This window comes from Homo sapiens, chromosome 9 (assembly GCF_000001405.40).
Source record: "Homo sapiens chromosome 9, GRCh38.p14 Primary Assembly".
In the NCBI taxonomy this organism is placed as follows: domain Eukaryota; kingdom Metazoa; phylum Chordata; class Mammalia; order Primates; family Hominidae; genus Homo; species Homo sapiens.
In genome coordinates, this window is record NC_000009.12 from 66,894,930 (window position 1) to 66,908,584 (window position 13,655).

A 13,655-nucleotide genomic window follows, 5' to 3' on the forward strand; every position below is an offset into this window, starting at 1 on the left:
AGATCCCTACCAGGTTCTCAGTATGGAGATCAGAGAAAATTCCTTTGATGATTTTTCTCAGGGTGGAGGGGAAAAGTAACCATTTTTGAGACGTGCTCAGAGCTCTCTGCTCCCCTTAACAAGGCCCACACTCAGGGGAACTACTTTACCAGAACCCAGCCTAAAGGATTTTTATGAAAACCTAAGTGACCTGGGGAAGGCAATCCCCAATCCCAGCCCCCTTCAGACTTTAACACGGAGGAAAAGAAATACATAACTTCAGTTCACTAAAAGACTGGGATCTAATCAGAGGATTATAGAAGGCTTGCCCTCCTCACACTCATTACTACTGCATCAGTAGAGCTCCTGCATGATAGCCTGGAATTACAGTTAAAAGAACTGCAGGCTCAGACCCTATTTCTGGAGTCTATGAACACCCAAAGACAAGATGGGAGACAGAAACAAGGACACTAGAGGAAACTTTTGCTTTTGACATCACAGCTACCACAAACAGGAAACACAGTTTAACTCTTAGCCAGATAAACATTAAACTTTACATTAAAGATCTATCTACTGCAGTTCCTTTTATCTGATACATAGTATTCGGCTTCCAATAAAAATTGCAGTGCATTAAAAGGCAAAAATAACACAATCTGAAGAAACAAAGCAAGCATCAGAACTGGACTCAGAATTGGCAGAGGTTTTGGAATTACCAGACTTGAAATGTAAAATGACTCTGATTAATATGCTAAGGGCTATAATGGAAAAAGCAAATACCATGCAAGAACTGATGGATAATGTAAACAGGGAGATGTAAGCTCTAAGAAAGATTCAAAAGTAAATGTTACAATTCAAAAACGATGAAACAAAAATGAAGACTGCTTTCATGTGCTCATCAGTAGATGGCATATAACTGAGAAAGACTCTGTGAGCTCAAAGATATGTCAATATATACTGCCAAACGTTAAATGCAAAGAGATAAAAGATTTTTTAAAAACAGAACAGAATATCCAAGAAGGTGAGATAATTACAAAAGTAACATACATATAATGGGAATACCAAAAAGAGAGGAAAAATGAAGATAAGAAATAGTTGAAGTAATAATGGCTGATAATTTTTGAAAATTAATAACAGGCACCAAACTATAGACCAGGAAACTAAGAGAACACTTATCAGGATAAATATCAGATAACATACACCTAAACATATCATATTCAAACTGTAGAAAAATAAAAAACAAAGAGAAAATCTTGAAAGGAGGTGGGTCGGGGGAGGGGATGTTACATGTTGTGAAACAGAGTAACAACCACATCAGACTTCTCTTCAGAAAGCAGGCGAGTGACAGTGGAGTGAAATATTTAGTGTTGGCTGTGGCTCACGCCTGTAGTCCCAGCACTTTGGGAGGCCAAGGTGGGTGGATCATGAGGTCAGGGGATTGAGACCATCCTGGCTAACACAGTGAAACCCCGTCTCTACTAAAAATACAAAAAAAAATTAGCCAGGCATGGTGGCGGATGCCTGTAGTTCCAGCTACTCGGGAGGCTGAGGCAGGAGAATGGTGTGAACCCGGGAGGTGGAGGTTGCAGTGAGCCAAGATCATGCCACTGCACTCCAGCCTGGGCGACAGAGCAAGATTCTGTCTCAAAAAAAAAAAAAAAATTTTTAGTGTTGACAGAAAAAAATTTGTCAACTTAGAATTTCACATCCAATGAACAACTCTGTGCCCACAAATTCTATAACATAGATGAAATGGACCAATTCCTTAGAAGACAAATATACCAAAACTCACACAAATAAGAAATAGACTACTTCAGTAGGCCTATATCTATTAAAGAAATGGAATTAATAATTAATAACTTTTTATAAAAAGCTCCAAGCCAATATAGTTTCACTGGTGAATTCTGCCAAACATTAAGACAGAAATTCTCTACAATCTTTTCAGTAAAATAGAGGGGATGCTTTCTAACTAATTCTATAAGCCAGCAGTGGCCTAAGACTAAAATCAGACAAAGATATTAAAAGATAAGAAAACCATAGACCAATGTTTCTCATGAATATGGAAGCAAAATCCCTCAACAAAATATTAGCAAATAGAATTCAACAATATTTAAAAGGAATTATATACCATAATTTGGATTTATCTCAGGTATGTATGCACAGCTGTTTCAACATAGAAAATCAATTAATCTGGCCTGGGCATGGTGGCTCACACCTGTAATCCCAGCACTTTGGGAGGCCAAGGCAGGCAGATCACGAGGTCAGGAGTTTGAGACCAGCCTGACCAACATGGTGAAATCCCGTCTCTACTAAAAATACAAAAATTAGCTGGGCATGGTGGTGTGCATCTGTAGTCCCAGCTACTCAGGAGGCTGAGGCAGGCGAATCACTTGAACCCGGAAGGCAGAGGTTGCAGTGAGCCAAGATCACGCCACTGTACTCCAGCCTGGGTAACAGAATGAGACTCCATCTCAAAAAAAAAAAAAGGAAAAAGAAAATAAATTAATCTAATCCATCTTGTCAACTGGTTAAAGAAAAAAATCATACAATCATATCAATAAACGCAGAAAATGCATTTGACAAAATCCAATCCCCATTTATGATAAATACTCTCAGCAAACAAGGAATAGAGGGAAGCTCCTCAACTTGATAAAGAACATTTACAGAAAACTCATAGCTGACATCATAGTTAAATGCTGAGAAAGAAAATGCCCCTAAGATAGTAATCAAGGGAAGGATGTCCCCTCTCACCACACCTATTCAACATCATACTGAAAGTCCTAGCTAATGGAACAAAACACGAAAATGAAGTAAAAAGCCTACAGATAGGGAAGGAAGAAATAAAACTATCTTTGTTTGCAAATGATATGATTGTCCCTGTAGGAAACCCCAGAGTTGACAGACAAACATCTGGAACTAAGTGATTATTAGCAAGATTGCAGCATACAAGCTTATTATACAAAAGTCAATTACATTCCTATAAGCCAACAATGAAAATTGGAATTTGAAATTTGAAACACACAATTTATATTATCATTAAAACAATGAAATACTTAGGTATAAATCTAACAATATGCATGCAAGATCTATATGAGGAAAAGTACAAAACTCAGATGAAAGAAAGAAATAACTAAATAAATGGAGAGATATTCCATGTTAATGGATAGGAAGATTCAATATTGTTAAGATGTTAGTTCCTACCAACTTGATCAATAGATTCAACACAATCTCAATAAAATATCAGCAAGTTATTTTGTAGACATCAAAAAACTGATTCTAAAGTTTATATGGAAATGCAAAAGACCCAGATAGTCAACTCAATATTGAAGAAAAAGTCAGAAGACTAATACCACCTGGCTTCAAAAATTACTATAAAGCTACAGTGATCAAGGCAGTGTCATGTTGGTGAAATAACTGACAAGTATTAATAGATCAATGGAACAAAATAGAGAACCCAGAAAAAGACCTACACAAGTATCAGCAACTGATCTTTGACAAAAGAACAAAGACAATACAGTGGAGAAAAGATAGCCTTTTCTACAAATGTTGCTGGCACAATGTGAAATAAAAAAAGTTATGCTCCAAAGTTGCTTCCACATTTTCAGGTATCTTCATAGCAGTACCCCACTCCTGGTTCCAAATTCTGTATTAATCCATTCTCACACTGCTATAAACAGCTACCTGAGATGGGGTAATTTATGATGAAAAGAGGTTTAATTGACTCATAGTTCTGCAGGCTTACCAGGAAGCATGACTGGGAGGCCTCAGGAAACTAACAATCATGCCAGAAAGTGAAGGGGAAGCAATCACATCTTTACCATGGCAAAGCAAAAGAGAGAACGAAGGGGGAAGTGCCACACACTTTTAAACCATCAGATCTTGTGAGAACCCACTATCACCAGAACAGCAAGGGGGAAATCTGTTCCATGATCCAATCGCCTCCCATCAGGCCCCTCCTTTAATTTGACATGAGATTTGGGTGGGGACACAAATCCAAACCATATCAGGCAGTGAAACTATTTTTTATGATACTGTAATGGTGGATATTACATCATTGCATTGGTGGAAATCGCACTAAAAGACATGCATTTGGCAAAACTCAGAACTGTAGAACAGACAGAATGAAAGCTAATATAAACTATGTATTTTAAATGTACTAAACTAATGCAATATATTAATAATAGGGGAAACTGTGTGTGGGTTGATGAGCGGAGGTATATGGGAACTCTGTGCTTTCTGCTCAATATTTCTGTATACCTAAAACTGCTCTGTACATCTATTAATATCCCAGCACTTTGGGAGGCTGAGGTGGACAGATCGCTTGACCCCAGTAGTTTGAGACCAGCCTGGGCAACATAGTGAAACCCCATCTCTACAAAAAAAAAATACAAAAGGCCAGGCACAGTGGCCCACGTCTGTAATCCCAGCACTTTGGGAGGCCGAGGCAAGGTGGATTACGTGAGGTCAGGAGTTTGAGACCAGCTTGGCCAACATGGTGAAACCCTGTCTCTACTAAAAATGCAAAAAATTATCTGGGCGTGGTGGCACATGCCTGTAATCCCAGCTACTTGGGAGGCTGAGGCAGGAGAATCGTTTGAACCCAGGGGGCGGAGGTTGTGGTGAGCCGAGAATTGCACTGCAGCCTGGGCAACAAGAGTGAAAATCCGTCTCGAAAGAAAAAAAAAAAATTAGCCAGGCATGGTGGCCCACACCTGCAGTCTCAGCTACTCAGGAGGCTGAAGTGGGAGAGTAGCTTGAGCCCGGAGACGGAGGTTGCAGTGGGCCGAGACAGCGCCACTGCACTCCAGCCTGGGCGGCAGAGCAAAACCCATCTCAAAAAAATAAAATAAAATAAAATAAAATAAGAAAAGTCTATTAATTAAAAAAAAAGTTATAGTACCTATCTATTCCTAATTCTTTAAACAGTCAGATGGGTATACACGTTTCAAAAAAGGTTTCCTCATGAAAATGCAAGGTTGGTGTAATAATCATTTTCATATTTTGGGTTGCATGTGTTTTCACGCATCACATATGTATTTTGAACAGCTAGCTTCCTCCTCCAACCCCCATAAACCCTGCTGATCACAGATGTTACTCGTTTATGTTTTCTAGTATTTGTTCGATTTCACAACCTTATTCATAAAGCTATTTTTATGTACTTTTACTTCCCTTGGCAACTTTGAATTTAACGGCATACTTCCGAAGGGATAGTAAAGCCTCTCCACTCCCCCTGCACTGCACTGCCCCACACGTCTTTTACTGAGTATGAAAAAAAAAAAATCAGACCCTCAGAATGGTAGAAAATAGTAAAATGAGCATCATAAGCACGTATTATACAGATTTAACAATTCTTCACTTATTACTATATCTGCTTTCATTGTTTTGAGAAATTTTTGAAGTATTTCAATTAAACTACAAGCATACAATTGTAAATGTTTCTGTACATATCTTTTAAATATAAGAACAATGTCCTACATCGTCTAGCTATTATTCTCAAAGTAACGGTAATTTTCTTTAATATTTCTAATGTCCTGTCGATAGTCATGTTTCCCCAATTGTTAATGTCTGTTTAAGGTGCTTTTTTCTCCAACCAGGATCGCATCAAGAACCACACTTCGCAGTTTGTGGTCATGCTGACAACCTCCGGGAATTTGGGAAATCCCTGGGCTCCGAAGGTCCCTCCCAGCCGGTCAAAGCAGCAGAAAAAATTATAGTACTTCCTTCGGACGCACGGGCTTACGGGAACTGTAGTTACTGTAGTTTTCAATGTTAACGCGCCTACCGCGCAGCACTTTGGGAATGGGGTTTCGGGGCTCGCTCTGCGCATGTGTAAACCCAGCCCCACCTCCTGCCGTCTGCCCTCCCGGGCCTGAAAGGGACACGGTGTCCGAGTCTTTAGGTCTGCGCGGGAGCCGAGGCTGCGCACCTGGGGTGAGAGCGTCGGTGACAGGGCTCCGCGCGGCCCAGGAACCTGGGGACGGGCGGGCTTGTGTGCGGAGGACAGCAGCAGGCAGTCTCAGGAGTCCCCAGGATGGCCCTCCCCTCTCCTCCCCGGCCCAGTGCGCGGGCCCAGGCCGAGTCCTGTCCGCAGGTGTAGGGGCTGCCGGGCCCCGCGGGGTTGCGGGCCGGGAAGAGGAAATGTGCGTGGATGAGGTTGACGGCGAACAGGAGGAGGTTACTAGTAACTCGTGTTCCTATTCTGAAAATTAAATAAGTTGTCACCTGTAAAGCATTTTGTTAAGTGTCTGTAATAGTCACTATGTGAAATGTAAGCTGCTCTCACAATTATGAGACACTTATTCTCATCGTTTGGTATTTCACCTGACCCTCACAACGACCTCTTTGGTATAAACGTTCCATTTTAAAAAAATGGACGAAAGTTCATGGGGATGGGTACCCCAGGGCACACACTAGTAGGTGAGATGCAAATGCTGAGAGATGTGACTCCCTGTCCTGCTCGTTCTAACATGCTGTCTGCCTGAAACCCAGACTTGCCAGTACCTGCCTAAAGCCTTCAGAGCGCTTATGCAGAGTGGCCTGTCACCAGATCTGTGTAGATGATTGTGAAGTAAATGTGGACAGAATCTCACCAAGTGGTAGATACATTCTGCGATTTGTCGGGTCTCTGATTCAGGCTGAGGCTCCTGAATCCTCTTGTACTGTTCCCGCTGTCTCCTCAAAGGCACAGATTGATATTCTGGTGCTGTGCTGTCCAATAGAAAGATAAGGCAAAACACAAATATAAATCAGAATTTTTGGCCAGGTGCGGTGGCTCATGCCTGTAATCCCAGCACTTTGGGAGGCCTAGGCCAGTGGATCACTTGAGGCCAGGAGTTCGAGACCAGCCTGGCCATCATGGCAAAAGCCCATCTCTACAAAAATAAAAAAATTAGCCGGGCGTGGTGGTGCACTCCTGTAATCCCAGCTACTTGGGAGGCTGAGGCAGGAGAATCGCTCGAACCCGAGGCGGACGCTGCAGTGAGCCAAGATTGCACCACTGCACTCCAGCCTGAGTGACAGAGTGAGACTCTGTCTCAAAAAAGAAAAAAAAGTTTAGAATTTTTCAGTAGCTACAGTAAAAAGAAGAGGCAGGCAAAGTCAGTTTTACTGCTTTATTTTACTTAACTCATTCCTTCCTAAATATTCGACTTGTAGCACTGGCCAAACTTCAGGTGTTCAATGGTTCTATGTGGCTGATGGCTGCAGTGCTGGATAGCACATTTCTAGTGAATCTCAAGAGTCAGGTTTAGGGTATTAGGTGAAGGTTTCAATTGAGTTTGTTTCTCAGGCCTAAGTCCCAGCCCCTCTGGAGCAAAGCAGCTCCTATGAGGCAGTCAAGAGGGAGTCCTAGGGACTACTGCCATAGAAGAACAGCCCATATGACCGAGACCTCTTCTAGAGCGTCAGAGCAGAGGCAGAAGATTCTAGAAAGGAGCAGGTCCTGATTGCTTCCCCAGAGGCAGTTGTTGACTCCCTATATATGCATCAGATTTTGTGATGTTGCCACATCCAGAAGCCATCACAGACCGTGTGACTTTGCTGTGGACTAACTTGCAGAAGGCAATTCCCAGGGGTTGAGAGGGATGAGTGACTATCAAGCTGGGTGGAAAAAGACACTTTACTGGAGGGCTGGTTAGGTCATGATATCCAGGGAAGATGTAATCAGCTGTCCAGATCCCAAACGGCAGCCTAGTTTCCTTTCTGCCTTCACTTCTTCCACATTGTGAGTCCCTCTCACACCGTGTTCATCACCACATGTGGCATTTAGAGTGATACTAATGCTGCCTCTTTCCGGGTAGTAGAGGAAGAATTTCCTATATTGGAAGCCCAAAAATATTGGGCCTGAAATTCCTTGCATAAAACATCCCATCTTTATTTTTTCCGTGGAAGTGCTAATTCTGGGTGTAAAGGCAGTAAGAACTTGATTAAGTCAGCCTGAGTAGTTCTTTTTTAAAAAAAATTATTTTTAAATTTATTTATTTTTTATTTTTTTCTATTTTTAGTAGAGACAGGATTTCGCCATGTTGACCAGGCTGGTCTTGAACTCTTGGCCTCCAGCAGTTCACCCCCCTCGGCCTCCCAAACTGCTGGGATTACAGGCATGATCCACCATGCCCGGCTGAGTAGTTCTTTGACATTAGCTTTAATGAAGGTAAACAGCTTCATCTCTGTGTACCTGAACTTGCTTAATCCTTTGTTTTATTTTTACTTTTTTCTTAGTCAAAAGGGAACATAATTGTTAATAAATCAACATAATTATTAGTAAATCAACAAAAAACAGTATTACTTTACTCAGTGAAAATGTAAGTTTAAGCGCACATAATCGTATCAGAGATGCACATATTCAGGTGTGGCTATCTTTGAGTGGTCCTTCTTGTCCCTTTTCAAGAGTCAAAGGGACATTCTGCATTGGGAATCCTTTTCTCCAGCTGAGTGCGATGATTTTTTTTTTTAGGCACATGAATAGGATTACATGCTCCTTGATTACAGTGGGGTTATGTCGCAGTAAAACCATTATCAAGTCGAACCATCTCATGTCAGGGACCATCTCTGTAAGAACTGAGAGGCAGACCAGGTCTCTCATGACCCCACTGCTCTTTCCTCCTCCCCAGCTGAACCTCCACAGTCCTCTACACTCTTCCAGGAGCAGCAGAAAATGAACATGTCTCAGGTGAGTTAGGTTTTTAAAAACCGGTTTATTTTACAATAGGTTTTGTAAGGGTTTATGTGTCCGTACATTAACATGGAAAAGTAGAAATAGAGATGGATCAGACACATTCCTAGAAGATGTAGAAATGCAGATGAATAGCAGAGCAAAGTGGCATGTGGATAGATGCAGATCCTCCGATATTACAAATTTACCAAATTAAGCTTCAGATTTATTTCTGAGGTTATTGACAGTCATGGTGGAGTGTCAGACAGACAATACTTAAAGGTTTACATTGATGAGAAAGATAAAGCCAACTGATTTATCATGGAATATAAACATAAAGATAACAAAATGTATTTATTGTTCTTCAAGTAGGTGACTTAGTTAATAAATTGCCAAATAACAGAATATTACTTCCTCAATAGAAGTAGAAATTGTAATGCTAAATTTGAACACGTTCAGTACTATTTTTCAAGTACTCCAGTGCAAGGGTTGAATTTAACATTTTTCTGATGAATCAACTGAATGTCTTTAAAATCACTCTCCATAAATATTTTGAGTACCCATGATATTCAGGTTGCTCAGCAGATGGTCCAAAATTGTTCTCTTTCAGATATTTCCACACTTAGCATTTAACGTCAACTCTCCATGGGATGCCTTGATTTTTTCTTGCCACTTGCCTGGGACCTCCAGTGTCCCTACCCATAGTATAATCAAATCCAGTGGATGTGGTCTTTTCCTTAACTTGCTTGGCTTTTCCGCAGCACTTGCCTCAATGTCTCACTCTGTCCTGGAACATTTCCGTTAGTGATACTTGCCCCTCACTGGTCCTTCCCCGGCTGATGTCTTCATGGAGCCACCTTCCTTGTCCTGTCACTCGGCTCAGCCTCAGTTTCTGTCCTTGGCTCTTTAGTCTTCTCTGTTGTCTCCAAATGATTTTGTCTTCCCTTGTTTTTTTCTTTTTTTAAAACTGCTTTTTTTGAGATTCAATTCATGTATCTTACCATGTACCCATTTAAAGTGTAGAATTCAGTGATTTTTTTAGTACATTCTCAGATAATGTACTAATATCACTGCAGTCAATTTTAGAACATTTTTATTCCCTTAGAAAGAAGCTGTGTACACTGTAACTACCACTTGATTCCCTCTGAGCCCCAAACAACCACTAACCTACTCCTCTATCTCCATAGTTTTGCTGAACCATTCCCTTTATTATTTCTTATAGGCAGTCTTGCCTGTGATGAATTATCTCAGGTTTTGTTTACCTGGGAAAATTCCAGTTTCTCTATTTTTCCTGGATATAGAGGTTATTGGTTGACAGTCTTTGTTTCAGCACTTTGAATATGTCATCCCATTGCCCTCTGTCCTCCATAGTTTCTCATTATAAATCAGCCTGTAATATGATGACTTGTTTCTCTGTTACAGCTTTCCGATTGTCTGTCTTTTTAACACTCTGATTCTCATGTCCAGGTGTGGATTTATCTTTTCTTTTTTCTTTTCTCTTTTTCTTTTCTTTTTTTTTTTTTTTTTTTTTTTTTGAGACAGTCTCTCGCTCTGTCACCCAGGCTGGAGTGCAGTGGCATGATCTCGGCTCACTGTAACCTCCACCTTCCGGGTTCAAGCAATCCTTGTGCCTCAGCCTCCTAAGTAGCTGGGATTCCAGACATTCACCACCATGTCTGGCTAATTTTAGTATTTTTAGTAGAGATGGGGTTTTACCATGTTGGCCAGGCTGGTCTTGAACTCTTGGCCTCAAGTGATCTGCCTACCTCCTAAAGTGTTGAGATTACAGGTGTGAGCCACTGCTCCCAGCGAGTGTGGATTTCTTTCTCCAAGTTTATCCTACTTAAAGTTTGTGAAGCATTTTGGGCATGTAGATTTATCATTTATTTCAGATTTGTGGGGTTTTTTGGCCATTACTACTTCTGATATTGTTTTAGACCCTTTCTGTCTCTATTCTGTTAGTCTATTTGGCATATGTTGATAAGCTTGATGCTGTCCAACTGTTCATTTCTTGTTATTTTTCCTTCTGTTTCTCACTGCATAATCTCAGTGGGCATGTTGTCCAGTTGCTTCATTCTACCCGTTCAGACCTGCTGTTGAACAGGTGTTTTTGGTAAAATATTTGTTTTAGTTTTGTACTTTCCAACTTTAAAGTTTCTATTTGGTCCCTTTTTATAGTTTCTGTTTATTTATATCCTTTATCTGGTGAGATATTATTCTAATACTTTCCTTTGGTCCTTACATATCATTTCCTCTAAGTCTTTGACCATATGTAACATAGTTGATTTAAAGTCATCGTCTGTTTAAGTCCAATGCCTGCTTCCTCGTGAGTAGTTTCTATTGATTGTACTTTTTTCCTGCATATGGGTCTTACTTGTTGTTTCTTTTCTTGTTTTGCATTTTTTGTTGAAAACTATACATTTTAAATAAGGTGGCAACTCTAGAAAACTTTCTTGATTTGCAGGAGTTGTTGTTGAAATTTGTCTAGTGACTTTTTAATTGATTCAGTAGAGCCTGTGTTTATTGTCATGTGTGGCTGCAGAAGTCTGCAGAAATTTTCTTAAATGCCTGAAACCTTAAGTAAGGCTCTCAGTCTTTGCCAAAGAGCCTCATGAGTGCTGGGGCATTCCTTCAACAGACATCCAGGCAATTTATAACCCCATGTTAACCTTCACTTCCTTCACTTCCAGTTCACCCCAAACCTTAGGGTCACCCAGGGTGACAGTTTAGGGCCTTCTCACATCTTTCCAGAGCATAATCACAGCCCTGGGCATATGCTCAGCTCTATGCATGTAGGTGACCTAGAGTCTCTAGAATCTATAGGAGCTTTTCAAAAGCTTTATGAACATCCCATTCTCCAGTTTTTCCTTTCTAAAAAGCTTTTCAATTAGGCTGTTATTTATGTCAGGTGTTATCCACCGCCTCAGTTAGCTGCTGAGTTAAACAATTGCCTTTGAATGTTTTTGGCAAATGCCTTCAAGAATAAGGCTTTTCACACTGGGGAACTCTGACTTAATTCAATCAGCCTTTCAAGTCAGCTCTTCCAGGGAACCACAGATTAGGTCAGATAATGAGGATTTTCTGGGAGTGAGGCTTTGGCCAACCTGTGACCCAGTCTGCCTCATCCAGTGGATACCAGGCCGCTGGATTCTCCTGTTGTTTCAGATGTTTCTCAAAGCTAATGCCGAGTGGGAGTGAGAGGGATGGATATAGGGCAGGTTGAAATGACACAAGATCATTGTTCTTACTGTGATGCAGCTGTTTTTCTCATATCAATGTTCCGCAGATTGCTGTAAGCCTTTGGTAGCTTCTAGAGTTCTGAAAAAGTTGATTCTGCAGTTTTTGCCGGTTTCTCATTGCTTTTATGGAAGAAGGAATTTTCTTGGATCTTCAGTATCTTCACCGTCATCACTTGCTAATTTGAATTTGAAGTCTTCTTGTTGTGGAAACTTTCTCTTTTCTCAATTTCTAAGACTCTGCCCCCTCCTGATTCTGTTATTATTTTTTGGAAAACATCTCTGGCTTTGTGGCCTGTACTTTTTCTGCTTTGTGGTTCCTCAGGTGTTGTTTTTGGTTCTTTTCTTTCTTCAATCCCTGTGTGCTCAAGGAGCTGTCTGTCTCTGCTAATTTTACTCACCACCTAAATTGCTAGTAACTCCTAAATGCTTATCTTCATCCCCATCTTACCTTCTGTGCTCTAAAATCATATGTATCCTGGTTGAACGAACAGTTCTAGCTACGTATCAACATGAACAGAACTCTCACTGAATCTTCTAACACGTTTTCTTCTTTCCCAGATACCAGTTTTGGCACCACCAAGCAGCTGCTTATTTTGAAATATACATTACTTTATTTTTCATTCTAGTCATCATCCTGTGCAATAGCTCAAAAACTATTCCTCTTATGTAACTGAAACTCTGTGCCCTTGGACCAATGCTTCCCCATTCCTCACCCCTCACCCCCAGCCTCTGGTAACCACCATTCTACTGTCTACATCTATGAGTTTGAACTTTTTAGGTTCCACATATAAGTGACTATAATTTGAAATATTTGTCTTTCTGTCAATTAAAAACAAAATTTTTTTAAAAGGAGCTTCTCATACAGCTAGATTGAGTAGCTGTACAAGAAAGTATTGTATTAAATGGGTGTTGCTTCTCTTCTGTGATTATATCCCTATTCTTACATCCATTGCTGTGACCTCAGTGTAGGAAGTGTTCTTTTGTGCCAGTCTCTTTGGTTACAACTATTATAGCTGTTCTCTGCTCTTCACCTGCTCTACCCTATATAAAGTTTGGTCAGGGTATCTCCAGACTTCACATATATCTCTTCCTTAGCCCCCAGAATTTACAGTGATGATGTCCAGGGAGGGTGTGAATGTCCTAGAGACTACCCCGGATAATTTGCGGAGATGTGGAAGAAGGAAGGAGGTGGTTGGAAGGAAGTTGTTTTACATTGATTTTTTTTTGTCTTACAAAAACCTAGAATTCATAAATACATAGAGAAATTATGGCAAGTTAAAAAATGTTTTGAGTTACATATGTTAAGACAATTTTGGGTCTAAAATAGGCCTTTATAACCATTCATTTTAGTAGTAGCTCTCAAAGATATTTTCTGTGTCACCCAATTCTGAACCCTTGAACAAACCATTGTTATATTTGTTGTGATAAATGTTGTTACAGGCATCAGTGTCATTCCAGGACGTGACTGTGGAATTCACCCGGGAGGAGTGGCAGCACCTGGGCCCTGTCGAGAGGACGCTGTACAGAGATGTGATGCTGGAGAACTACAGCCACCTCATCTCAGTGGGTGAGCATAGCTTACCATGGGGCTCTCTCGAGAATATATGTCCCTTTTTAAAAAGTATCAAAACACATGGACCCTTTATAGAGATTAAAGGGCTTTGGATTAAAAGGTTTGAAGTAGTTGAAACCTTTACAGAAACAAAAGCAACATGTCATTACTTTCCCATTAAAAATTTCAAATGAACACCCTCAGTTAATGCTTTGCTGCCATATCTTTTTTTCCC

At 40.6% G+C, this 13,655-nt stretch overlaps 1 protein-coding gene across 6 annotated transcripts in view; it reads left to right on the forward strand.

The window, feature by feature from the left end:
• The first annotated feature begins 5,795 nt into the window (after positions 1-5,795).
• ZNF658 (zinc finger protein 658) overlaps positions 5,796-13,655 on the forward strand; it is a 31,417-nt gene continuing 23,557 nt past the window's right edge. The window contains exons 1-3 of one of the 6 annotated variants that reach the window (NM_001317916.2): positions 5,796-5,907; positions 8,432-8,647; positions 13,309-13,435. In NM_001317916.2, coding sequence (NP_001304845.1) covers positions 8,633-8,647; positions 13,309-13,435 — 142 coding nt within the window. In that variant the 5' untranslated portion in view covers positions 5,796-5,907; positions 8,432-8,632. Of the gene's footprint in view, positions 6,151-7,979; positions 8,129-8,431; positions 8,648-13,308; positions 13,436-13,655 lie in introns of those variants that run through there. The other 5 variants (NM_033160.7, XM_047423212.1, XM_005272515.6 and 2 more) reach the window with 5 other exon arrangements.